At 42.7% G+C, this 27,155-nt stretch overlaps 1 protein-coding gene across 1 annotated transcript in view; it reads right to left on the reverse strand.

Annotated features, from left to right (window-relative positions):
- The window catches only part of SMIM36 (small integral membrane protein 36), an 82,292-nt gene that overhangs the window by 20,820 nt on the left and 34,317 nt on the right, over positions 1-27,155 (reverse strand). The window contains exons 2-3 of the mRNA NM_001395421.2: positions 8,785-8,905; positions 8,087-8,138 (exon numbers count right to left, since the gene is read on the reverse strand). The gene's annotated coding sequence lies outside the window, so the exon portion shown is untranslated. The remainder of the gene's footprint in view (positions 1-8,086; positions 8,139-8,784; positions 8,906-27,155) is intronic.

Raw genomic sequence — 27,155 nt, forward strand, 5'->3', positions numbered from 1 at the left:
TCCCCAGTTCAAAGCCTATTTTGCATCCTCCCCTTGTGTCTCCCTACCTTAATCCGCAAGTATGGGACACCTCTATTCCCTCCTTGGTGACCGATCATGCACCCCTTATCATCCCATTAAAACCTAATCACTCTTACCCTGCTCAACACCAATATCCCATCCCACAGCAGGCTTTAAAAGGGTTAAAGCCTGTTACCACTGGCCTGTTACAACATGGCCTCTTAAAGCCTACAAATTCTCCTTACAACTCCCCCATCCTACCCGTCCAGAAACTGGACAAGTCTTACAGGTTGGTTCAGGATCTTCACCTTATTAATCAAATCGTCCTTCCCATCCATCCTATAGTGCCAAATCCGTACACCCTCCTATCTTCAATACCCCCTCCCACAACTCACTATTCTGTTATTGACCTCAAAGACGTCTTCTTTACTATCCCCTTGCATCTCTCCTCCCAGCCTCTTTTCGCCTTTACTTGGACTGACCCTGACACCCACCAATCCCAACAACTCACCTGGACTGTTCTGCCCCAAGGCTTCAGGGACAGGCCACACTACTTTGGCCAGGCCCTTTCTCATGATCTGCTTTCTTTTCGCCTGTCTGCCTCCCATCTTATTCAATATTTTGATGATCTTCTTCTTTGCAGCCCCTCTTACCAATCTTCCCAGCAGGACACTGTCCTGCTTCTTCAACATCTCTACTCAAAGGGGTACTGAGTATCCCCCTCCAAGGCACAAATTTCTTCCCCTAGCGTTACCTATCTCAGTATAATCCTCCATCAACATACACATGCCCTTCCTGCAGACCATGTTCAGTTAATCTCCCAGACCCCAATCCCCACCACCAAACAGCAACTCCTTTCCTTCTTAGGCATTGTTGGATATTTCCTAGTCTAGATACCAGGCTTTTCTATCCTAACCAAACCACTTTACAAGCTCACAAAGGGTAACTTAAATGATCCCATAGACCCTAAGTCTTTTCCCAATTCTTCCTTTCACTCTTTCGAAAAGGCCCTGGAGACAGTTCCTACACTAGGACTCCTTGACTCATCCCATCCTTTTTCCTTACCACAGCTGACATACAAGGCTGTGCTGCTGGAGTCCTCACACAGGAGCCAGGCCCATGACCTGCTGCCTTTCTGTCAAAAGAACTTGACCTCACAGTTCTGGGCTGGCCTCTGTGTCTGCCTGAGGCAGCAGCCGCCTCTTTAATACTTCTAGAGGCCTTCAAAATCACAGGCTATGCTCCACTTACCCTCTATAGTTCTCACAACCTTCAAGCATTAATATCCTCATCGCACCTGTCATATTTATTGTCTGCCCCTCGACTCCTCCAGCTCTATTCACTTTTTGTTGAAACTCCAACAGTAACTATTACCCATGGGCCTGATTTCAACCCAGCTTCTCACTTAGCACCCAACGCAACTGAACCACATGACTGTATTTCACTAATACACATAGCATCTTCCCCCTTTCCTCATATTTCTATTCTTCCAATTCCAAACCTAGACCACACTTGGTTTATCGATGGCAGTTCTTCTAAACCCAATCAATTTTCACCAGCTAAAGCTGGATATGCTGTCATGTCCCACACCTCCATTATCGAAGCTGCTGCACTTCCTCCCTCCACTACTTCCCAACAAGCCAAACTGATTGCTTTAACTCGTGTGCTCTCTCTCGCTAAAGGAATGCATATTAACATTTATACTGACTTCAAATATGCTTTCCACATCCTCCATAACCATGCTGCCATCTGGGCTGAAAGAGGCTTCCTTATCACACAAGGCTCTTCCAGTATCAATGCCTTCCTAATAAGGGCCCTCCTTAAGGCTGCTCTGCTGCCGGCCAAGGCAGGAGTCATTCATTGTAAAGGACACCAGAAACCTACTGATCTTATTGCAAAAGAAAATGCCTATGCTGGCCGGGCTTGGTGGCTCACGCCTGTCATCCCAGCACTTTGGGAGGCTGAGGCGGGCGGATCACAAGCCCAGGAGTTCGAGACCAACCTGGCCAATATGGTGAAACCCCGAATCTACTAAAAATACAAAAATTAGCCAGGTGTGGTGGCGGACAACTGTCCCAGCTACTCGGGAGGCTGAGGCAGGAGAATTGCTTGAAACCGGGAGGCGGAGGTTGCAGTGAGCCGAGATTGGCCACTGTACTCCAGCCTGGGAGACAGAGCGAGACTCTGTCTTAAAAAAAAAAAAAAAGAAAAGAAAAGAAAAAAGAAAATGCCTCTGCCGACAGGATAGCAAAAGAAATAGCCAATGCCTCCACACCCGCTAATATTCCAGCCCCTACTCCAGAAGGCTAGTATTTTTCTTTCTCCTCTATCACTCTCACCTACTCTTCTTCTGAAAACCTGCTCTACCAGTCTTTTCCAACTCAGGGCAAGTGGTTCTTAGATCATGGAAAATTCACTCTTCCTGCCTCACAAGCTCAGTCCATTCTTTCTTCCCTTCATGACCACTTCCATGTGGGATACCAGCCTCTGGCTTGCCTCCTGCAGCCCCTCATCTCCTTCCCTTCATGGAAATTCATCCTTAAGACCATCACCTCTCAATGCTCTGTCTGCCATGCCACCAGCCCCCAAGGCTTTCTCAGGCCTTGTCCTTTTCCTATGCATCAGGCTTGTGGATTTACTCCAACACAAGGTTGGCAGATTGACTTTCCGTAAATTTAAATATCTGCTTGTTTGGATCGACACCTCCACCAGATGGGTCGACGCCTTTCCCACTAGCTCCGAAAAGGCTACTGCGGTCATTTCTTCCCTTCTAACAGATATAATTCCCTGATTTGGCCCCCCTACTTCTATTCAATCTGACAGTGGTCCGGCCTTTATTAGTCAAATCACCTAAGCAGTTTTTCAGGCTCTTGGTATTCAGTGGAACCTTCCTACTCCTTACCGTCCTCAATCCTCAGGAAAGGTAGAACAGACTAATGGTCTTTTAAAAACACGCCTCACCAAACTCAGCCTCCAACTTACAAAGGATTGGACAGTACTTTTACCTCTTGCCTTTCTCAAAATTAGAGCCTGTCCTCAAGGTGCTGCAGGGTACAGTCCATTTGAACTTTTATATGGATGCACTTTCTTGCTAGGCCCCAACCTTGTTCCAGATAAGGCGGGAGACCACCCCTCATATTGTCTTATGCCCAATTTCTGCCTCCAAAGAAAGAAGAAGTAAAAACTAAAAGGCAGAAATGAAATCCACAAGCAGACAGCCCGGCGCGTCACCCTGGGCCTGGTAGTTTAAAGATCGGCCCCTGACCTAATCAGTTATTTGCATGAGAAGAGCACTGTGAAGATCCCTGTCCTGTTCTGTTCTGTTCTAATTACCAGTGCATGCAGCCCCCAGTCACATATCCCCTGCTTGCTCAATCAATCACGACCCTCTCACGCGGACCCCCTTAGAGTTGTAAGCCCTTAAAAGGGATAGGAATTGCTCACTCAGGGAGCTTGGTTGTTGGAGACGTGAGTCTTGCCAAAGCTCCTGGCCAAATAAAGCCCTTCCTTCTTTAACTTGGTGTCTGAGGGGTTTTGTCTGCGGCTTGTCCTGCTACATTTCTTGGTTCCCTGATTGGGAAGCAAGGTGATTAACGGACTGTCGAGGCAGCCCTTTAGGTGGCTTAGGCCTGTCCTGTGGAGCATCCCTGCAGGGGACTACAGCCAGCTTGAGTGATGCGGATCCTGAGAGTGCTCCCAGGTAGGCAATTGCCCCAGTGGAATGCATCCTCAGAGCAGCACGTGGCAGGCCCCCGTGGAGGATCAATGCAGTGGCTGAACACCAGGAAGGAACTGGCACTTGGAGTCCGGACATCTGTAACTTGGTAAGTCTGGTCTTTGGAACTTGCCTACTCCATTTGAGTGGAAGCGTGGCCTGATCACCCACGGCATGCCCGTATCGGCACTTTGGTTTTTGTTTTTGACTTGACTTGGATTGCTTGATACTTTGGTTTTGCTTTTGACCTGGCTTGGATTTCCTGATACTCTGATTTTGGTTCTGATTCTGGTTTGGTGTAAGCTGAAACAGTGCGTGTGTGCCCTTTTTACCCATTCTTTGTTTTGTGGTGTGCGTGTGGTGTAAGCATGGTGTTTTGTCTCAAGGAAACATGGGTCAGGCACAAAGTAAGCCCACCCCACTAGGAACTATGTTGAAAAATTTCGAAAAGGGATTTAAGGGAGACTATGGAGTTACTATGACACCCGGAAAACTTAGAACTTTGTGTGAGATAGACTGGCCAGCATTAGAGATAGGTTGGCCATCAGAAGGAAGCCTGGACAGGTCCCTTGTTTCAAAGGTATGGCACAGGGTAAACTGTAAGCCAGGGCACCCAGATCAGTTCCGTATATAGATTCTTGGTTACAGCTAGTTTTGGACCCCCCACAGTGTTTAAGAGGACAGGCAGCAGCAGTACTAGTACTGCAGTCACCCCCACTACTTGGACTGCACCCCAAAAACTTGTCATCCCTACTATCTTCTGTCTCGTCATACTCCTATTCACCATTCTCAACTACTCATAAATGCCCTGCCCCTGTTTACACTGCCGGTTTACACTTTTTCTCCAAACCATCGTAGCGGATATCTCCTGGTACTATCCCCAATCCACCACTCTTGACTCCCTCTTGGAGAGGATAGATGATGTTTGCTGACAGGGCACCCTCCAATGCTTTCACCCTGATGAAGTCATATTATTTACTTTTATACTCACTCTTATTCTCATTCCCGTTCTTATGCCACCCTCTAACTCTCCCCATCTATCTTCACCACACTGTCAATCTCACTCACTCTCTCCTAGCCATTTCTAATCCTTCTTTAACAAACAATTGCTGGCTTTGCATTTCTCTTTCCTCCAAAATCTCCAAGGCCTTGACTTACTCACTGCTGAAGAAAGAGGACTGTGTATATTTTTAAATGTAGAGTGTTGTTTTTACCTAAATCAGTCTGGCTTGGTATATGACAACATAAAAAACTCAAGGATAGAGCTCAAAAACTCGCCAACCAAGCAAATAATTACACTGAACCCCCTTGGGCACTCTCTAATTGGATGTCCTGGGTCCTCCCAATTCTTAGTCCTTTAATAACTGTTTTCCTCCCTCTCTTATTTGGACCTTGTGTCTTCTGTTTAGTTTCTCAATTCATACAAAACCGCATCCAGACCATCACTAATCATTCTATATGACAAATGCTCCTTCTCTAACAACCCCACAATATCACCCCTTACCCCAAAATCTTTCTTCAGCTTAATCTCTCCCACTGTAGGTTCCCATGCTGCCCCTAATCCCGCTCGAAGCAGCCCTGAGAAACATCACCCATTATCTCTCCATACCACCCTCAAAAATTTTCGCCACCCCAACATTTCACCACTATTTTGTTTTGTTTTTCTTATTAATATAAGAAGACAGGAATGTCAGGCCTCTGAGCCCAAGCTAAGCCATCATATCCCCTGTGACCTGCATGTATACATCCAGATGGCCTGAAGCAAGTGAAGAATCACAAAAGAAGTGAAAATGGCCAGTTCCTGCCTTAACTGATGAAATTCCACCATTGTGATTTGTTCCCGCTTCACCCTAACTGATCAACTGACTTTGTGACATTCCTTCTCCTGGACAGTGAGTCTCAGCAGCTCCCCACCGAGCGCCTTGTGACCCCTACCCCTGCCCACAAGAGGAAAAACCCCCTTTAACTGTAATTTTCCACTACCTACCCAAATCCTATAAAACTGCCCCACCCCATCTCCCTTTGCTGACTCCTTTTTTGGACTCAGCACCCAGGTGATTAAAAAGCTTTATTGCTCACATAAAGCCTGTTTGGTGGTCTCTTTACACGGACACGCATAATAGGCCAATACAGATTTGCCTGGCTCTGCCTTTGTGCCTTCATGAAGATGGTCACTATTTTTTTTTTTTGTTTGTTTAGACAGAGTCTCGCTCTGTCACCCAGGTGGAGTGCAGTGGCATGAAATCGGCTCACTGCAACCTCCACCTCCCGGGTTCAAATAATTCTCCCACCTCAGCCTCCTGACTAGGTGACTGCAGGCACATGCCACCACACCTGGCTAATTTTTGGTATTTTTAATAGAGACGGGGCTTCACCATGTTGGCCAGGCTGGTCTTGAACTCCTGACCTTAAGTGATCCACCCATCTCCGCCTCCCAAAGTGCTGGGATTACAGGTGTGAGCCACCATGCCCGGCCAAGATGATCACTATTTTTTAGGATTGTCTCTGCTACTGCAGTGCCATTCCCAGGCAAACATATCTAAATTTGCACATTTTCAGGGAGGCATTCTAATAATAATCTCTTTAACAGTTTGGGAGTTGCTTTAGTTCCCTAGGGCTGCCACAACAAAGTACCAAAAAATGGGACCTCATGCGGTAGCTCACCTGTAGTTCTAGCTACTTGGGAGGCTGAGACAGGAGGATTGCTTGAGCCCAGAGGGTTGAGGCTGCAGTGAGCTATGATTATACCATTGCACTCCAGCTTGGGCGATGGAGCTAGACTCTGTCAAAGAGAAAAAACAAACGAACAAACAAAAAATAGGTGGCTTCAAACAACAGAAATGTATTGTTTCATAGTTATGGAGGCTAGAAATCTGAAATGAAGGTAATGGCAGAGTCATGCTTTCTGATAGCTCTATGGGAAGAGAATCTTTCCTTGCCTTCTCTGGCTTCCAGTGTTTACATTCAATTCTTGAGTTCCCTGGCTTAGAGATGCATCATTCCAGACACATGGCTGTCTTCTCCCTGCATGCCTTAGACTGTCTTCTACATGTGTCTGTCTCTGTGCACTAATTTCCCCCTTTTTATAATTAGGCAGGTCATATTAGATTAGGGCCCGCTCTAATGACCCTATTTTAACTTGATTACCTCTGTAGAGATCCTATTTCTGGATGAGGCCCCATTCTGTGTACTGGGGATTAGGACCTCAACATATCTTTTTAGGGAGACACAATTCAACCCATAACAGGAGTCACACAGATCTGGGTTCAAATCTTGGCCCTACCATTTATTAGATATGATCTTGGTCAAGTTATTCACCTTTCTGAGCCTCAGTTTCTCCACTTTTAAACTTGGCATGATATTATTAATTACCTCATAGGGTTGCTATGAGGATAAAAAGGGATAATGTTTTCCAAGGGCCTGGCAAGTGAAGAAGAGGGGCATTTTCACGAACCTATTACTTTTTTTTTTTTTTTAAGAGAGAGAAAAGCTCTTCCCAGAAGACTTTTGGAGAAATGGGACATATTCCCATGTCCTAGTTACCAAGGAAGCTGGGAAAGTGAATATTTGACATTTCCAGCCTAAACAAAGGGAGATAAGGCTCTGCCAGCATGGGCAACATGGTGAGATCCTGTCTCTACAAAAAAATACAAAAATTAGCTGGGTATGATGGTATGCACCTGTAGGGAGGCTGAGGTGAGAGAACCACTTGAATCTCAGAGGTTGAGGTTGCAGTGAGCCGAGACTGCACCATTGCATTCCAGCCTGGGAGACAAAGTGAGACTTTGTCCCTCCTCCCCCCACCCAAAAAAAAAGTACCTGTTGTTACGTTGTGGGGAGGTTATTCCTTTTTTTTTTTTTCAGACAAGGTCTCACTCTGTTGCCCAGGCTGGAGTTCAGTGGTGTGATCTTGGCTCACGGTAGCCTTGACTTCCCAGGCTCAAGTGATCCTCCTGCCTCAGCCTCCCGAGTAGCTGGGACTACAGGTGCCACAATATCCAGCTAATTTTCATATTTTTAGTAGAGACAGGATCTTGCCTTGTTGCCCAGGCTGATCTCGAACTCCTGGGCTCAAGTGATCTGCCCGCCTTGACTTCCTAGAGAGCTGGGAATGCAGGAGTGAGCCACCACACCTGGCCTATTCCTTAGATTTTATTTAGTCTTAGATCTCCAACCATCTGGTAGGATTTAGGAATAATAGTAGTCAAACTCAAGAGGATAGAAACTGTCATTTACAAACATGGTTCTTGACATGGAATCCTTCCTTCAAACAGAAGCTTACAAGGAAGCCTAACATATAAAACACATTTCAGCAGCCCTGTTCTGGTTGAAATGGGGTTGGTTGGGAAAACTCAGGCATATTGCACTTACCTTGTTTCTTTGCAGTGTCTCTTAAGACACCTTTGTGGAGCTCCTCAGACACCTTGAGAGTTAAAAAAAAACACTGGGTTAAATGTTCATTGGTGAAGATGCTATTTATACCTAGATCTGTCATATTGGTGTTTAATTTTGAATCTGGGAAAGGAGAATGCAACCCCTTTGCAGCAGCAGGGATCCCAAAGTCCTGTAGACCCATGGGAAGGCTGTTTTCCTGTGGTTTCTTGTGAGCTCCATAGTGCTCTATCTTTCTGATGGAGAGGGCTGTCTGCATTCTCAATAGGATAGCGTCACCCACAAGTTTCTCCCAGGCATTGAGTCAGCTGCAGATCCTGACAATGACTTCCAAGGACAGAGGATTTCTCAGCCTTTTGGTGTATGCAAAGTGTCTAGCTCTTACTCCCATAGGATTCAGTATTGCTACAATGACCTCAAAGTATAGGAATGGAATGTATCCTCCATAGCATTGCTTAGGACCACAGGCAGGTGTCAGGATTCTTGTAACATCTGAATATGTATTTAAATCTGGTTGTGCAGCCCCGTGTGGTGGCTCACGCCTATCATCCTAGCACTTTGGGAGGCTGAGGCAGGCAGATTACCTGAGGTCAGGATTTTGAGACCAGCCTGGCCAATATGGAGAAACCCTGTCTCTACTAAAAATACAAAAAGTAGGTGGGTGTGGTGGTACATGCCTGTAATCCCAGCTACTCGGGAGGCTGAGGCAGGAGAATTGCTTGAACCAGTAGGCAGAGGTTGCAGTGAGCTGAGATTGCACCATTGCGCTCCAGCCTGGGCAACAGAGTGAGACTCCATCTCAAAAAATAAAAAAATAAAAAATAAACAAATAAATCTGGTTGTGTGCTAATACAGCCCAGTGGCTGAGACTCAGGTTTTGCATCTGTTGTGATGATTTTGAACCCAGCTTTGCCTCTTTCTTATTGTACAAGCTTGACCAAATTACTTCTCAACCTTAGTTTTATTATATATAAAGTAAGGACAACAATATTTTCATCTTAGAGCCGTTGTGAGTATTGAGGTGATATGAGCAAAAACACTTTTCCTTGTGTATATTCTCAGTAAGAACCCCTGTCGCTGCTGTTGCAGAAGACAGATGTGCCTTCAACACTGGAGAACACTTTTACTTCCTAGCTGGGACACTGTCACAATTTTTGCTGTGAACATTACTTTTGACCACTTGACCTTTTCTTCAGAAACATCATCTTTGCTGCAAAAAGCCTCCCCCTACTCCCCCACTCCCTCTGTGTAGCAGGGAAAGGCTCTTAGGATGTCCTATAGTAACCTTGCCGCCACTTCCAGTTCAGCACCAGGAGCAGAGGTAGAACAGAAAGAAGTTGGTTGGGATGTCAAGCATACCTAGATAGCCTGTTATTTTGGCACAGGCATGGGTGAAAGGGCTGAGAAGTACATAGTGAGCTGGACAGGAAAGGCAGAGGCAGAAAAAATGGAGCGTTCTAAAAAAAAAAAAAAAAGCAATGACCTCTTGATTACCTAAAGCCCCAGGCCTGAATATTAAATGCTAAATGTTTGGAAGCACAAAGACAATTTGAGTTTCTCTAAAATCAAACCTGGGTGTGATCATTGTACTACAGTTATGATGGAGTTGAATGCTTAAGTGTCTAAGGATGAAAACCTCTCTCAAACTTCTGGTTTCAATCTCCAGGCTGCTAAAGAGACTCTAGATAATGAGATCCAAGCATCCATATTCTAAACAAGCTCTCCAGGTGATTCTGTTCAGCCACTCACTGGTTGATTTTTTGGGGGGATGCATTGACTTACTCCAAACCCACATCCCTGGGATACATGCTCTTTCAATGTAGTGCGGAAGTGCAGGATTTCTTTTGATGTCTAATAATAATGATCATATGGGCAGAATTTCATAGAAGTTGAAGGAAGTCTGGTTTGGGATCAGGAAACCTCAAGTTTAATAATAATTTTCTTTCAGTTTCCCCATAGGAGCTTGGCCTAATCCTGTAGCTGCTGTCTCTCAGAGACAATGGTTGCTCTTTGCATTGCCTCATGATCATCACAGGGTCTGTACAACAGCAGGGGCAACCATGATTATCTCTTCTATGCAGTGTGACAAAATTTCTTGTTATCTTAGATTTTTCTATGTTTCTCAATTTTTCTAGGCATATTATAAACTGTCATACTTTACTTATCTTGAATTTAGCTGTCTTACAGTCATAGTAAAAAACTAGAAGGGAAAAATACATTTATGTGCACACACACATACATATATACATTCTCTTTATTCTCTCTCTCTGTCTCTTTCTGTCTCTGTCTCCCTGTCTCTGTCTCTCTCTCTCTCTCCCTCTCTCTCTCTTTATCTCTCTCTCTCACACACACACACCCTTTTAATTAAACAGCCAGACCAGATGGCACTAAGACTTAAGATACTTTACATGTAGGCAATCCTCTTAGACTCATACTCAGAGCTTATTTACTCTTATTTTATGCCTAATTCTAACAGAACTTCTTATGTAACTTCCAAGCTTCAAGTAGAATAGGTTCAGCAAACAGACAGAACAAAAGTGGGCAAAATAGGTAGACATACTGAAAGCACCAAAATCTGAGAGCTAAATGCCCAATAACCAGGCAGAAGAAAAATAAAAAATTATATATACCAAGTAGAGAGAATTTTGGAGTCACTAAATTTAAGAGTAAATAATCCTCTGTGCCTCCATGGATCCTGGCAATGCTGTGATATTGCACGGTACAATCCCTCCTGTTTTCGATCATGACAAATCTGAATCATCAAGAAGGCTAGATTAAGTTCTGTATTTTATGTTTAGGAAGCACGGGTATAAGTGTTCTAGCTAAGAAAAATTTATATCTAAAATGTTTAAACTTCCAGACAAGATTTGGCTTCTGGGAATCATAGAGTTTTAAAGTTGGAAAGCATCATAATTATTATTATTATTTTGAGACAGGGTCTCACTCTGTTGCCCAGGCTGGAGTGCAGTGGTGCAATCTTGGCTCACTGCAGCCTCAACCTCCTGGGCTTATGTGAGTCTCCCACTTCAGCCTCCCAACTAGCTGAGACTACAGGCTTATGCCACTATGCCCAGCTAATTTTGTTTATTTTTTTTGTAGAAATGAGGTTCCACTATGTTGCCCAGGCTTGTTTCAAACCTGTAGACTCAAGCGATTCTCCTGCATCGACCTCCCAAAGTGCTGGGATTACAGGCATGTGTCACCGTGTCCAGCCAAGCATCATGATTTTAATAAAACTTTAATTTATGAAGTGGTATAGGACAATAACCCTCTCCATTGAGCTGACCAACCAGGTGTGACCTTCTGTTACCCATCAATTGAAGTTGGTGAGCTAGACAGATGAAGACTTTTTGCCATCCTAGTATTAGACGAATCCTAAGACCCTTTCTAAAATTGCAGAGAAAGAAGTTAGAGGTAAAGGAAAGAACTCGTTGGTTGCCACACATAGCATGTGTCCATACTTTTTTCCTACTTCTTAGGCCCTTCAATTATCTTATACTCCCACCGCATCCACAACATCCTCCCCACCTTTCATCTGCCCTACCCTGCCTATCTCATGAGTCCAAATCTATTCCTATTCTTTAGCCTAGCTTCAGTGCCACCTTGTCCAAGAAGTTGTCTGGAACCTGCAACTGAAACTCATCTCTCCTTCTCCAGGCTTCCACAGGCTGTTACCAAGCACTCTCATTGTACTTTTCAATTCAAATCTTATAGATTTTTCCTTTTTAATTATGGTTTCTTCCTCTTAATAGCCTATAGTTTGCTTGAGGACAGAATCTGGATTGATTCATTTCTGTGTCTTCAATAGCACCTGGCATAGTCTTTCACATTTAGTGGGCGTTTTATAAGTGTTTGTTGAATGGATAACAAAGAGACAGCCTGCATATTTGTCATTATTACATTGATAACTACCTTTATCCTTTGCATTTGTCATTGTTACATTGCTGACATAGAGAATTAGAGACTACAGGGAAAACATGTACTTACTGATAGAGGCATTCATATGGAAAATTAGTGCTCTTACTCTTTTTCCCTTAGAAGAATAACAACTTTCCCTTTTCTTAAAATGTGAGACCTGAGAGTAAAGGCATCTGTCAAATAAAGTCATTGAACATTGTAATGCAGCATTACACTTACGACTATAGCTTCAAGGTACATTTGTTTGACACTCTGGTTCATTGGGTCTTAACAAAAGTAGTCTAATAACATATTTGTGTAACATACAGAGATTTCAAAATGTGCACAAACTCTTGGCTGTCAAATGGCAGGCCAAATGGATGCTATTATCCTTGCTTTTTAGATGAAGATTCTGAGGCTCATTGAACTAATGTGAGTTCCTCAAGTTTACATAGGAAGCAGCAGAACCAGGGGGATTTTTTGTCAGCTCTGTCTAGCGTGAAAACCAGCAGAACATTCAGAAATTACAAATTCAAATGTTTCTTGTTGGGTTTGGCCTGAGTGCTCTCTCCCACATATGAACACTCACAGTAAGCATTGATTCTACCACTTTTTGCATTTTCTACCCTGAGATGCTATTGTTATTTTAAAATATGGAGACAGTGTAATAGTTTATTTTATGCATCAACTTAGCTAGGCCACAGTACCCAGATATTTGGTCAAACACCAGTCTAGATGTTGCTAGGAAGGTACTTTTGAAAAGAGATTAACATTTAAATCAGTAGAACAGTAAAGCAGATGACCCTCCATCATGTGGGTGGGCCTCCTCTAGTCAGTCGAAAAGCTTAAGAGACGAGGACTGAGGTCCAGACTGCCTTCGGACTTGAGCTGCAACAGTAACTCTCCTCTGGGTTTCTAGTCTGCCTGCCTGCCCTACATATTTCAGAAATGCCAGCCCCCAAAACTGTGTGAACTAATTTCTTTTTTTGAGATGGAGTCTTGCTCTGTACAGTGGCACAATCTTGGCTCACTGCAACCTCTGCCTCTGGATTCCAGTGATTCTCAAGCCTCAGCCTCCTGAATAGCTGGGATGATGTGTGTGTACCCGCTAATTTTTGTATTTTGAGTAGAGATGGGTTTCACCACATTGGCCAGGCTGGTTGGTCTTAAACTCCTAACCTCAAGTGATCTGCCTGCCTTGGCCTCCCAAAGTGCTGGAATTACAGGCATGAGCCACCGTGCTTGGCCTGTGTCAACTAATTTCTTAAAATAAATCTCTCTCTTTTTCTTTCTCTCTCTCTCTACACATTCTATTAGCTTTGTTTCTCCAGGGAACCCTGACTAATATAGACTGCTCCTAATTTATGAGGATAATTTATTTTATAAATGTATTTAAGCTTAGCATATAAGAACCCATGAATTTATAATGATACAAAATTTTTTAAACAGAAAAAAATCACCATAGCAAAAAACAAACAACAAAAAAAACTCAAAAAAATTAATAAATTGGACACTACTTGAAGTAACTAAGGTTTCAACTTCCCGTTCTGAAAATTGACCATTAAAAGGAAAGAGTTAAGCACTGATTCTGTATACATTGCACTGCAGGATAACCAAGCCCTAACTGAGAAGGGAAAGTTCTTTACAAAAAAATTCTAGCCAATAAATATGGAAGGACTGATAGAGCTAGAGCTGTTTTCTAACATCGAATGTAATAATTGATTCAAGCAATTATCAACAAGGAATGAAACCGTGAGATGAAAGGTAGACGAAGAACTTTACAATGGCTTGATCATGCTTATATTCCCAGAATTCACTCATCAATTTGAGTACCACTAAAAGTGGGACAATCACACATTATAAACCTCCCAGTACAAGGATATTTGCAGCAAACAGAACCATCTGGGAAGAATTCTTATCAAAAAAGATGAGGCTGCATCAGGCCTTTCGCTAATGTCAATGTATAGGAAATATGGCAGATAGAACAAATTAAAGCAGACAGTAAAACAAAAAGACAAACTCCCAATGGGTAGGCAACTAAGAGTAGAGGAGTGTTACTCATAATTGTACTGGGACAAAAGGTATAAACTGGGGCTGTCTCATGCAAAACTTGAGGCGTGGTCACTGTAAGCATGTGGTACATTCTAAAAGATGACTGACCTGGCTTCTGCAAGAAGTCAATGGCATGAGGCAAAGGCAAGAAAGCTTGTTCTAGATTAAAGGAGAGTTAAGAAATATTAGGACCAAATGTGATGATGGACCAGGTTTGGATTCTGATTTCAACTATTAGGGAAATATGCTGCCATTGACTGGGTTTAGCTGATACCAAGAAATCCTTATGTCACAGATACTGTAAGAAAATTGAGGTAATGTGAGAAACTATCCATATTTTTTAGAGATGCATAATGAAATACAGAGGGGTAAAATGACATGATATATATGATTTTCTTTAAAATATTTTATTAAAGGATAGATTAGGCTAATATGGCAAAATCTTGATAATTACTGGTGATAATTTTATGGAGACTGTCTACCATTTTCTCTATGTCTTAGTATATCTGAAAATATTCATAATCAAAATAAAAATCTAAATCTGAAAAGAAACATTTTCTCTCTTTTGTTTTGAGACAAGGTTTTCTTGCTCTGTTGCTCAGGCTGGAGTGCAGTGGTACGATCATAGCTTACTGCAGCCTCAACCTTCCAGACTCAAGCAGTCCCACCTCAGCCTCCTAAGTAGCTGGGACCACAGGTGTGTTCCACCATACCCTGCTGATTTTTTTTTTTTTTCCTGTACAGATGAAGTCTCCCTATGTTGCCCTGGCTGGAGTTGAACTCCTGGGTTTAATTGTTCCCCCCACCTCGGCCTCTCAAAATGCTGGGATTACAGGCGTGAGCCACTGTGTCCAGCAGAAAAAAGCATTTCTTAAAAACCAACATGGTCTATGGTTGTTGGGTCTAAGAACACAACTATTTGCCTATTTATAGTTTATAGAATAATGTTAATATCTAATATACATTGTGCTTGCTAATGAAGTTCTAAGTACTTTGTATGTTATAGTTAATTTAATTCCATAAGCCCTGGAAGGCAGGTATCTACTGTTATCATTCCCATCTTACGTATGAGGAAACGGAGGCACTGAGAAATTAGCTACCCAAGGTTATATGTCAAGTGAGTTTAAAGCTAGAGTTTGAACTAGGCAGTATATCACTAGCATCCATATATATTCTTATCCATTCTACTACTTTATGCTTAATGTTAATTTCCAAGAGTAGAGTAGTATTAATTCTTATGTGACATAAAACAGTGAATTGAGATGAAGAAAAGAAAGAAAGAGCTTTCTTTTTTTTTTTTCCTTTATTCTTTTTTTTTTTTTGAGACGGAGTCTTGCTCTGTTGCGCAGGCTGGAGTGCAATGGCGTGATCTCCGCTCAATGCAACCTCGCCTCCCGGGTTCAAGTGATTCTCCTGCCTCAGCCTCCCAAGTAGCTGGAGCTACAGGCCCATGCCACCATACACAGCTAATTTTTTTTTGTATTTTTATTAGAGACAGGGTTTCACCATGTTGGCCAGGATGGTCTCGATCTCTTGACCTCGTGATCCACACACCTCTGCCTCCCAGAGTGCTAGGATTACAGGCGTGAGCTATGGCTCCCCGCCCAGTAAGAGCTTTCTTTTATGGGGAATCTTAGACAAAATTTCAGAACAGATGAGGTTTACCTTGGCATGTTCCTCTCTCTATCTCTGGGTGCTCCTACCTCCATCTGCATCTCTCCTCATGACCCCAAATGTCTAGTAACTTTAGGCCTTTCTAATTCCTCTGATCAGAACTGGCTGACGATGAATGAAGCTCCACATGCCCATTTCACTAGATTCTAGGTAGTGTGGGTCTGGGTTGGGGCCTTGGATGTTGCATTTCTAATAAGCACTCAGGTGATTTTGATGTAACTTGTCACACTTTTAGAAACAGGGCTGGTGTTTCACTACCCATAAGCGTGCATCGTGCCCTACCTTATATTCTATCCAAAGTGAACTACTGTTCTCCATTCTAAGAATTTCATCTCCAAGTCAAATTTCAATTCCCTATTCCTTACTTTAACATGAAAGGAAAGAAATGGAATCAGACAAATGAATTCACACTAAAATGAGAATAACTAATATCAGCTCCCTCAAAATTCCCAGAATTGTTTGCATTTTCCTAAAAAGAAGATAATTTGCAACCAATTTAAAGATCAATTGATGGATGAATGAACTCATTCATTTAATTATTTGACAAATGTGTGTTGAGCGCAGACCATGTGCTGGGCACTGAGAATACAAAGGAGAATAAGGCATGGCCTCTGGCTGCGAGTTGCTTATGCTAGAGTTGGGAAGAGAGACCAGGAACAAACGATTCTAACATAATGGAAACGTGTCCCTATGGAACAGAAAACCAAACACCGCATGTTCTCACTCATAGGTGGGAATTGAACAATGAGAACACTTGGACCACAGGGCGGGGAACATCACACCCTGGGGCCTGTCATGGGGTGGGGGGTAGGGGGAGGGATAGCATTAGGAGAAATACCTAATGTAAATGACGAATTAATGGGTGCAGCAAAACAACATGTCACATGTATACCTATGTAATAAACCTGCACGTTGTGCACATGTACCCTATAACTTAGAGTATCATAAAAAATAAATAAATAAAAAAGTGTCCCTGTGGAGTTTAGGACAGGGTTCTATGGGGTCACAGAACAGGGTTTCCTAATCCAGAGTGGTGGGGAAGGCAAGGGATCAGGAAAGACTGCACTGAGAAGGAGGCACATCGGCTGATCTCTGAAGTTGCCAGCAAAAATTCCAGAGGCTAAAAAAGGGGAGGGTTTATGTAAGAAACAGAATACTCAAGAAACACCAGAACGGAGTGAGATGGGGGAGGATAGCAACAAATGAAGCTTGAATATATGGGTGGGGGCCTTTGTAGGAACTGAGGGATGCCTGGGTCAGTCCTTGTGAGTAAATGGGAAGTTCAGCTCACTTGGGGCTTTTCCTTCTCTTCCCTCCAGCAGTATCACCCTTGGGGAGCCCAGAAAAACATCACAGAAAGGAGAGAGTGGCTTAAGTAAAATTCCAGTTCCTTTCTTCCTTGAGAAATTAGGAGATGCAAGGCTGAGACCCCTTGCAGCTGACTACTTGGAGGAGTGCCGACAGCCTTTGCTGTTTCGTGGCAAATGGCTAAAAGGAGCCTACACGGAGTGGGGATTCCAGACCAGCCTCAAACAAGGCTGCTAGCTGAGTCTGATGGGAAGCTGCTGGAAACTTCTGAAAACCCCAGTAAGAGGCGAGGTGAGTAGCCTGTCTTTGTCTCCCCTTGATCCTTGGAAGTTGAACCTTCAATTCTTGGAAAATTAAACCTTTTTCAGGTTGGCTGAGGGCAATGACATGGCCCAGTTTTCCTTACTATTTACTTCTTTGGCCTTCAGCCAACATCTCAAAGTCAGTCTCCTGAGTCAGGCCAGGACAGTAGTCCCATGTCTGCTGATTCTGCAGTAGAGACTGGAAAAATGTGCCCACTTGGTCCCTGCAGGCTGGAAGCACTTGCATCTGCTCAGGCTCCAGCAGAGGCATCCCGACTGCAGTCTGTTAGCGTGGAGGCTGCATTACGAAATTCTCTCCCAAAGTCCCTTTGCCTTTCTTTCAAACACTTACACAACTAATAGAGATTCATTGTAGAAAAATTGGAAATTATACCCAAGCATAAAGAAGAACATTTTTACAATTTCCCAGGGTTTAATACTGTGCATGCAATTTTAGGATGTGTGCTTCTAGCATACATATGTACATTATACTTTTTGTAGCCACGGGATCATATTGTACATGCTGTTCAGAAGTTTGCTTTTCTCATTTACTATTATGTGATTATTAGCCTATTACAATATCAGTATATTTGTTGCTGCAATGAGGACATACTATTCCATTGTAAAGATGCACCATATGTTATTAAACTATTTTCATTTTTGAACATTTAGCTTGTCACCAATGTTTTTTTCTTTATTCATCTTTGTATACACTTCTTATAGACTTACTCAACTTTTTCCATAGAGGACATTTTTGCAAGTGGACCTGCTGGGTCAAATGTCTTCAAATTTTAAAGGCTTTACACATATATATCTGATCAAACGGCCCTATAACTTGTATGAATGCGTACACCTGGTAGCAGTATAAGAGTACTCATTTTCCATCATCATCATCATCATCATCATCATCATCATTGCTAATATTTAATGAGCACTTAGTATGGGTCTGGCAAATATCCAAGCATTTTATTCAGAACAATTCATTTAATTGTCACAACTCTGCGGTAGATACCATGGTTATTCAACATGTACAATAGGGAAACTGCAGTACATAATTATATTTAGAAAACAGAAATGTAAGGCCGGGCACAATGACTCACGCCTGTAATCCCAGCACGTTGGGAGTCCGAGGCAGGCAAATCACCTGAGGTCAGGAGTTCAAGACAAGCCTGGCCAATGTAGTGAAACCTTGTCTCTACTAAAAATACAAAAATTAGCTAAGCGTGGTGGTGCATGCCTGTAATCCCAGTTACTTGGGAGGCTGAGGCAGGAGAATCGCTTGAACCTGGGAGGTGGAGGTTGCAGTGAGCCGAGATCACTCCACTGCACTCTTGCCTGGACAGAACAAAACCCTGTCTCCAAAAACAAAACAAAACAAAACAAAAAGAGAAATGTGTAAGAAAAAAGGAAAAAAGGAAGAAAAATAATTTCTCCATCTTCAAACCGCATTATCTGTGAAGCAGCCACTTATAAAAGTTTTGTATTTGTCTGAATGTTTTCTATGCATATAAAAACATAAAGTGTGTGAATGTACTCTTTTGCTTTTAAACTACAAAAGAGATCATACCACATAGACCATCACACTCCTCTGCAATCCGGATTTTTCTTCTAACAATATGTCATGGCCATCTTCCCATGGCAGTTCATGCAGATTACCTCATTTGCAGGTGCACGGCATTCCACTGTATGAATATACCATATTGGTTCATGTGTCTCCCTCATCTTCCCAACCAGGCTGTAAATTTTGCACATCTATAGCATAATCCTATGGCTCTTATCAAAAGTCTGAGCTCATATCAAGTGAACACTGAATGGAAAAAGTTATTATTGCTCGGTTTTTTTTTGTTTTTTTTTACAGAATCTCGCTCTGTCGCCCCGGCTGGAGTGCAGTGGCACAATCTCGGCTCACTGCAACCTCTGCCTCCTGGGTTCATGCCATTCTCCTGCCTCAGCCTCCTGAGTGGCTGTGACTATAGGCGCCTGCCACTGCGCCTGGCAATATTTTTTTTTTTTGTATTTTTTGTAGAGACAGGGTTTCACCATGTTAGCCAGGATGGGCTTGATCTCCTGACCTCGTAATCTGCCTGCCTTGACCTCCCAAAGTGCTCGGATTATAGACAGGAGCCACCGCGCCTGGCCATCGATGCGTATTTTTGCGGGAGTCATAACACCTTTGAAGTTTACCAGTTAGTTGCATCATCAAAAGCATCTAAAGTAGGGTGGAAAAATCACTAGAAGGGCACTTGGGGTCCTGGGTTCTGGCACTGATTCTGCCAGGTGGTATCCTGAGCAGGGCGCTTTTCCTGTCTGCTTCTTTTTGCTGTTACATTAGTGGTTTGGACTGACAGCCATGGGGGCTTTTTCTAGCTTTGACATCTCATGAATTTATAAGCCAGAGCAAAACCCACTTTTGTGAGCCATACGGTAAGAATGGGCCTGACAGCTCATGTTCTAAAGAATAATTTTAACTCTTGGTTTGTACACTTGACATTTTTTGAGATAGAAAAATAAAGAAAGGAGAGCATATGATATGGTCTCAGAGTGAGAGTGAGAAGTGAGCCAAATCTGCCGTATGGTCTCCCAGAAACAGTGCAGGGGAAAATCAGTCCATGCTATTTGTTCTTTCCTACTTCAAGCACTTTCCAAACAGATTTGCAACTGAGATTCGAAATGCTGTGTTATGAGGACCCAGGAATACTCGAAGTAGGGTCATATGTAAATTTACTTATTTTATTTATAAAGTGAGAAAAAGGTGTCAACTTGTACATACACTATGATCATAAGTATGTAAAATATATACTTAGAACAGCAGAAAATACAACAAAATGATATAGTATAATGTGGGTAATGGGATTATGGGTGATTTCCATTTTTTTTTTTTCTCTACACTTTGCTGTATTTTCTCAAAGTTTCCCAAGTGAATAGGCATTACTTTTAGAATCAGAAAAATACAATCAGGCTGGGTGCTGTGGCTCCCACCTGTAATCTCAGCACTTTGGGAGCCTGAGACAGGAGGATCTCTTGAGCCCAGGAGTTTAAGACCAGCCTGGGCAACATAGTAAGACCGCATCTCTACAAAACATTAGCCTGATGTGGTGGTGCTGTAGTTTCAGCTACTCGGGAGACCGAAGTGGGAGGATTACTTGAGCCTGGGAGGTTGAGGCTGCAGTGAGCCATGATTGCACCATTGCACTTTCGCTTAGGTGACAGAGCAAGACTCTGTCTCCTCACCAAAAAAAAAAAAAAAAAAAAAAGGGCGGTCAGAAAAAAAATCTTCAAATATTAATTAAAAAAAGAAAATAATCACACAAATGCTACTAGAGGTCACTTTGAGGAGTTAATATCATCATTATCTTCTCTTTCTTTTCCTTCGCTCCATTTTTTAAGTTTGCCTTAACAAATGTGTATTAATTTTAGAAAGAGAAACAACCCCACTAGGGCAGCTGCTGCTCCAAATTCATTCTCTCCCTCTTTCTTTTTACTGGAACCCTGATTTTGTTGGAAATGGCAATGTAACTAACAAAAATCTATACCTTTCAGTCTTCCTTGTAGATAGAAGTAAACATTTAATTAAGTTCTAGCTAATGAAATATAAGCATACATTGCTGGTTGGGCCTCTCAGCTAACTAAATGGGCTTGTGCCTGTTTGCCTATTCCCTCTTTCTCCCCTCCTGGCCTCAAACTCAGACGTAAAGTTTGGAACTGCAGTGGCCAGCCTTTAATGAGAAGACAACCTCAAAGATGAAGTAAAGCTGATAGAACAGAAATAAAGGTGCCTGCAATATTAGTGGCATGTTGGAGCCACTGCATCTGGCTCAGCCACTTTTCTTCAACATCAGAGTGAAAGAAAGAGAGCAAACTAGGCGGGGCGGGGTGGCTCACACCTGTATTCCCAGCACTTCCGGAGGCCGAGGTGGGGGAATCACGAGGTCAGTAGATCGAGACCATCCTGGTTAACACAGTGAAACCTCATCTCTACTAAAAACACAAAAAATTAGCTGGGCGTGGTGGCAGGCACCTGTAGTCCCAGCTACTCGGGAGGCTGAGGCAGGAGAATGGCGTGAACCAGGGAGGCAGAGCTTGCAGTGAGCTGAGATGCTGTCACTGCACTCCAGCCTGGGCAACAGAGTGAGAAACCATCTCAAAAAAAAAAAGAAAAAATTAAAATAAAGAGAGCAAACTCCTCTTGATATTGATATTTCTTTTTTCTTTTCTTTTCTTTCTTTCTTTTTTTTTTTTTTTTTTTGAGACAGAGTCTTATTCTGTCACCAGGCTGGATTGCAATGGCGCGACCTTGGCTCACTGCAACCTCTGCCTACCAGGTTCAAGCAATTCCCCTGCCTCAGCCTCCTGAGTAGCTGGGACTACAGGCTTGCGCCACCAAGCCTGGCTAATTTTTTATAATATTTTAGTAGAGATGGGGTTTCACCATGTTGGCCAGGATGGTCACGATCTCTTGACCTCATACGTTCTTTCTCGTGATCTGCCCTCCTCAGCCTCCCGAAGTGCTGGGATTACAGGCATGAGCCACTGCGCCCGGCTTCCCCTTGATATTTCAATCACTGTAGCTGTTAGTCATAGCTGAGCACAATTTCTAACAAATACACCCACTTAAAAAAAAAAAAAGAAAAACACACACACATCAATTGCTAACTATTGCGAACATCTTATAAAAAGGTTTTAGGGGCAATGCAATTGAAATTCACTTAAAATTAAGGAAATAAAAGGCAATGTTCTACTAAAAATTAAGGATGGTCCCTGAAGATCCAACACATCTAATATGTTTCACATTGTTAAAGTTCCATGCACGGTGGCAAATTCATTATTTTTTACATTTGGGGACAATAAGTTTGTTAATACACGCCAGCAACTAGGAAGTCAATGCATCACCATATGCCTGAACTGAGAACATTTGTCACGGTTTACGTTCTTTCTAAAGAGTGCAGAACAGACCTTGACTTGTAGAATCACCAACGCGGGGACAGTTACTTGAAATGTCAGATGGAAAACATGTTAGCAAATGGGGTGTGTGCATGCATTCTGTGAAAGGAAAGGCCTCAGCCCCCTGTTAAGCTTCCTGCTGCAGCTCCCTGATCAACAACAATGCTGTAGCCACGGGCAGTTTTTCAGGACAAATCCTCCTGTCACTAGTTTCCTCATTCAGGGAGGTCAGGTTGGAAATGAGAGGAAAGATCAGAAACAAAGAAAGAGGCAGGGTCAAACATGCCATAGCCAAAAGGTCCTTGGCATGTTGTTAATTAACTCCACTCCTACTTTTGTGTAGCTGAGTAAGTGAAGCTAGTGCCTCCTAGGAAGTTAGTGGCTGGGCTAAGAATTAGAACCCCATAACCCCAGGCTGCTGCTCCAAGGTGTAGTCTGTAGAATCAGGAATATGGATGAGAACCAAGCACAGGGTCAACTGAAGCAGAGGTGTTGGTAATATCAAGTCAAGGGTCGCACCTATTTTCCTGATAGTTCAGTAAAGGCACCTCCGCTGAGGAAAAGAAGTTTGGGCTGGATGTGGTGGCTCAAGCCTGTAATCCTAGCACTTTGGGAAGCCAAGGCAGGAAGATTGCTTGAGTCCAGGAGTTTGACGCCAGCCTGGGCAACGTGGTGAAACCCCATCTCTACAAAAAATACAAAAATTAGCCGGGTGTGATGGAGCACACCTGTAGCCCCAGCTACTTAGGAGGCTGAGGTGGGAGGATCCCTTGAGCCTGGGAAGTCAAGGCTCCAGTGACCCGAGATCGCGCCACTGCACTCCAGCATGGGCAGCAGAGCTCTCTCTCTCTCAAAAAAAAAAAAAAAAAAAAAAAAAAGCAGCAGCAGCTTGGGTAATTTGGAGCCAAAGTGGGCAGAGAGACAGAAGGACTAATCTGTTGAATCACTTTCTCAACCCTCACCTTCCCTGTGCTTGTGGAATTAAGTGTGAATCCTGGCTTTCTCTCCGTGGCCTCATTCATCACAAGACTACCTGCTGCACTTTCCCAGCCCTCTATGCCTGGGGACATCAAAACAGCCCAACTTATTCTCTCCTGTGTCTAGGAACAGTTTGTTTCCATAGGATAGTATTCTTATGCTACAATGGATGTAAAAATCCTCTCTCCTTTTTCCCATGAGAAACAAAGTCATCTCCAAAGGATGGAGAATTCCTGATATGTTCATTTGTTTATTGGGTGCTGCGGGGAGGTGAAATAGATGTACGAGACACGCACTCCTTTTTTGAGGTGCTTAAGATCCAGCCAGGAAAAAGAACACAGGGGAAAGGACTAGGATTTACAAACTAACAGAAGAACTTTCCTTTGTGTATTAAAAAACTCACCAAGGAACTCTGCAAAGCATCCTTAGCAATACAAAAACCAAATTTGAAATGTACTGTTTTTTAATTTTTTAAAAAAACTTCCTGGATCAAGTTCTTGGCAAAGTTCCCATCCCTACCAATCTAGACCAAAACCTGGGGTTAGATGGGGGAAGATTGGAGGTGGATTATGCCCATTACACATAGACAAACTCCAAGGTGATATGGTGGAGTGGTGCAGAGCCGGTCTTCAAAGTGAGGGGTACAAGAAGATTCAAATAATGTACATATAATTTATAAGAATATGCGTATGTGTATATGTAATATGTAAGTATATACAAATGTATACTTTTGTATATTTTGTTTGAACACACACACACATACACACTCACACGAGTGCTAAAATTATAAGTATATAAGTATATACAAATATAAGTATAGATAAGTGTATACACATGTATACTTTTGTATATTTTGTTTGAACACACACACACAGGCACACACGCACACACACAAGTACTAAAATTATCTTCACTGACAGGAATGCACGATAAAAGGCATTTGAAAGCCACTGGTTTAGAGAACGAGCTTCAGAGTTCCAGTTGCCTAAAATATATAAAGTTGGGAAGATGACATTACCTCTCAGGGTTACAGTGAAAATTCAGGCAATGTATGCAAAGCGCTTGGTATAGTCTTTTTCTGCCACTTGCTAAGCTTTCCAAAGACAGAACTCATGTCTGTTGTGTGCATTGATTGTATCCTTCAGGCCAGGCATAGCATCTGCACAAAGTAGGTGCTTTACAAATATTTGTCAAATAGATAAGTGGTCTGTAGGTATATCCAATTCTTTGCATGTTTACCGGACCTCCACCTGTATCTGTGCTATACAAGCAACAAAATTGGAGTACACAGAACTGAGAATAACATTATGATGGAAATGACCTTCAACTCACCCTCTGTATATTAATAGGTAAATCATTCACAAACTTGGGTAATTTATTATTAGAAACAAACTATTTACAACACACCTGATGGCTGATGGTGATTCACCAGCATGCTACAAACCCATGGATTGGAACCACTGCTATAACCATAACTTATTACACTTTGTGATCTAATCTGTTTGGATTCGTTCATGAGACACACTTATAAAAATCTCTGTATAAACAGTGCTTATTTATAAAACCAATAATAGACTGGGCGTGGTGGCTCATGCCTGTAATCCCAGCACTTTGGGTGGCCTAGGTAAGGATCGGTTGAGGACAGGAGTTTGAGACAAGCCTGGGCAACATAGTGAGAACCCTGTCTCTATAAATTTTTTTTTTTTTTTTTACAAAGGAAATTATGAGGGGGTAGTGGCAAGCACCCAAGTAGTCCCAGCTACTTGGGAGGGTCACTTGACCCCAGAAGTTCAAGGCTGCTGTGAATTATGATTGTACCACTGCTTTCCAGCCTGGGCTGTAAGAGCAAGACCCTGTCTCAAATTTTTGTTTTTGAAAAAGACCAATAATGGGTAAAAAAGAGAAAATGAATATAAAGTCTAAGAGCAGAAGAGATGTAGATTAAATACAGAGAAATATTCTTGATCGTGAGAGTTGTCAAATCCAGTCTTGCTGCCATTTAAGAAATCAATTATTCCCCTTTGGCCCCTGGATCTTCTGGTTTTCCTTCTGATCATGTGTATAATGACTGCTGCGTATACATTTTTGTCTCCAAAATTCTATAATCATTTTTCTCCCTCCCCGAGTGGCAAACAACTTTTCACAGATACATTTCCTTATAAGAATGTCTTTATCAATTCTGACAAACAATCCAGATTCCAAATTCCACTGCCACGTTTCCGCTGAGCCACTCTTGGGCAAACCCTCCCTTGGAGCGGCACACTTTTCTCTCCCTGGGTCTTCCTGATTCCTCCAAGCCAAGTCCTTTTCTTCCTAGTGTCTCCTGAGCTTTGTATTGTACGCCTGTCAACTTCAAATTGCAGTTGAGGCCACCAGGCTGGCAATGCGTCAAGCAGAGAACCAGCAGATCCCAGCATATGGCTGGTGTTTAATTAAATAATGGCTGAGTACAGAGAAGCCTTGAGAAAAAAAAAATATGCGCAGACAACTTCCTACTATCTTGGGAGGATGTGAAATAGCTAAAATCTTTCTCAATCCTGGTGTTACAAAACCCTTATCTGGAACACTGGCAGCCCAAGAAAGTCAAAGTCGAAATAACTGTACAACAGAGGTAGATAATAAGTGATCTCATACTTTCTGTATCTCAATCACTAGTGTCTTCAGGGAAGATGACGTAATGAGAAAGAGACTGTTCTTGCTCCTCTTGGGCAATACTTGTCTGTGTCTGCCCTCTAGTTCTCAGGAATTGTTCTAATCAAAGAGATTATGTTATTTTGCATTCCCCAAAAGTGATGGCAGGGAGAGACAGATCTCAAAAGTGTGACTTTTCTGCACCCACCTTGCTGAATCATCCTGTTGCTCTGCATGGATTCTGGGCAGCTATAAAGTTATAGTGTAAACTCAGGACTAAAAGTCAGGATCCCTGGATTCTGCTGATCCCACCCTTTCAACCTAAAGGTGTTTGCATGACAGTCTCAAACTCCCTTGTTTCTAAAATAAAAATAACGGTTCCTCCTCTTACAAATCTTCAGGAAGATTAAATGAGGTGTCTGGCATTCACTAAGTGGCTTTTGAAGTGTATATGGGGTATCGGAAGAGACTTGGATACTTTAGGGATAATTCCGAACTGTCTTTGCTTCACTCTAATAGTTTTGTGCTTGAACCCCATAATATCTTTCCTTTGTGATTTGTCCCTAGTCCTTCTCTATGGAACAGAGAGATTTTACCTCTATTCCTCTCAATTATACCTTACATTCCATCTGGCAAAACCACAAGCACATTTTTCTACTAAGGATTTTTTCTTCTGTATTCTACCTTCTTATTTATTTATTTATTATTTATTTTTTGAAACAGAGTCTCGCTCTTGTTGCCCAGGCTGGAGTGCAATGGCGTGACCTTGGCTCACCGCAACTTCTGCCTCCCGGGTTCAAGCGATTCTCCTGCCTTAGTATCCTGAGTAGCTGAAATTACAGGCAAGCGCCACCACGCCCGGCTAATTATTTGTATTTTTAGTAGAGATGGGGTTTCTCCATGTTGGTCAGGCTGGTCTCGAACTCCTACCTCAGGTGATCTGCCCGCCTCGGCCTCCCAAAATGCTGGGATTACAGGCGTGAACCACTATGCCCAGCCTACCCTCTTAAAAAAACACAACCTGGTGGTGTGCTCCTGTAATTCCAGCTACTTGGGAGGCTGAGGCAGGAGGATTGCTTGAACCCAGGAGTTCAAGACCAGCCTGGCCAACATAGTGAAACCCTGTCTCTAAAACAAACGAACAAACAAGCAAAACAAAACCCCCACAACAAATGGTTACTCAGCTTGTGCAGCATCGATTTCCTAGGCAGCCTCTATTAAGTTTGGCCTTCAAGTTTCTCCCCCAGACTCTAACTCAGCATAAT

This window comes from Homo sapiens, chromosome 17 (genome assembly GCF_000001405.40).
Source record: "Homo sapiens chromosome 17, GRCh38.p14 Primary Assembly".
Lineage (NCBI taxonomy): Eukaryota > Metazoa > Chordata > Mammalia > Primates > Hominidae > Homo > Homo sapiens.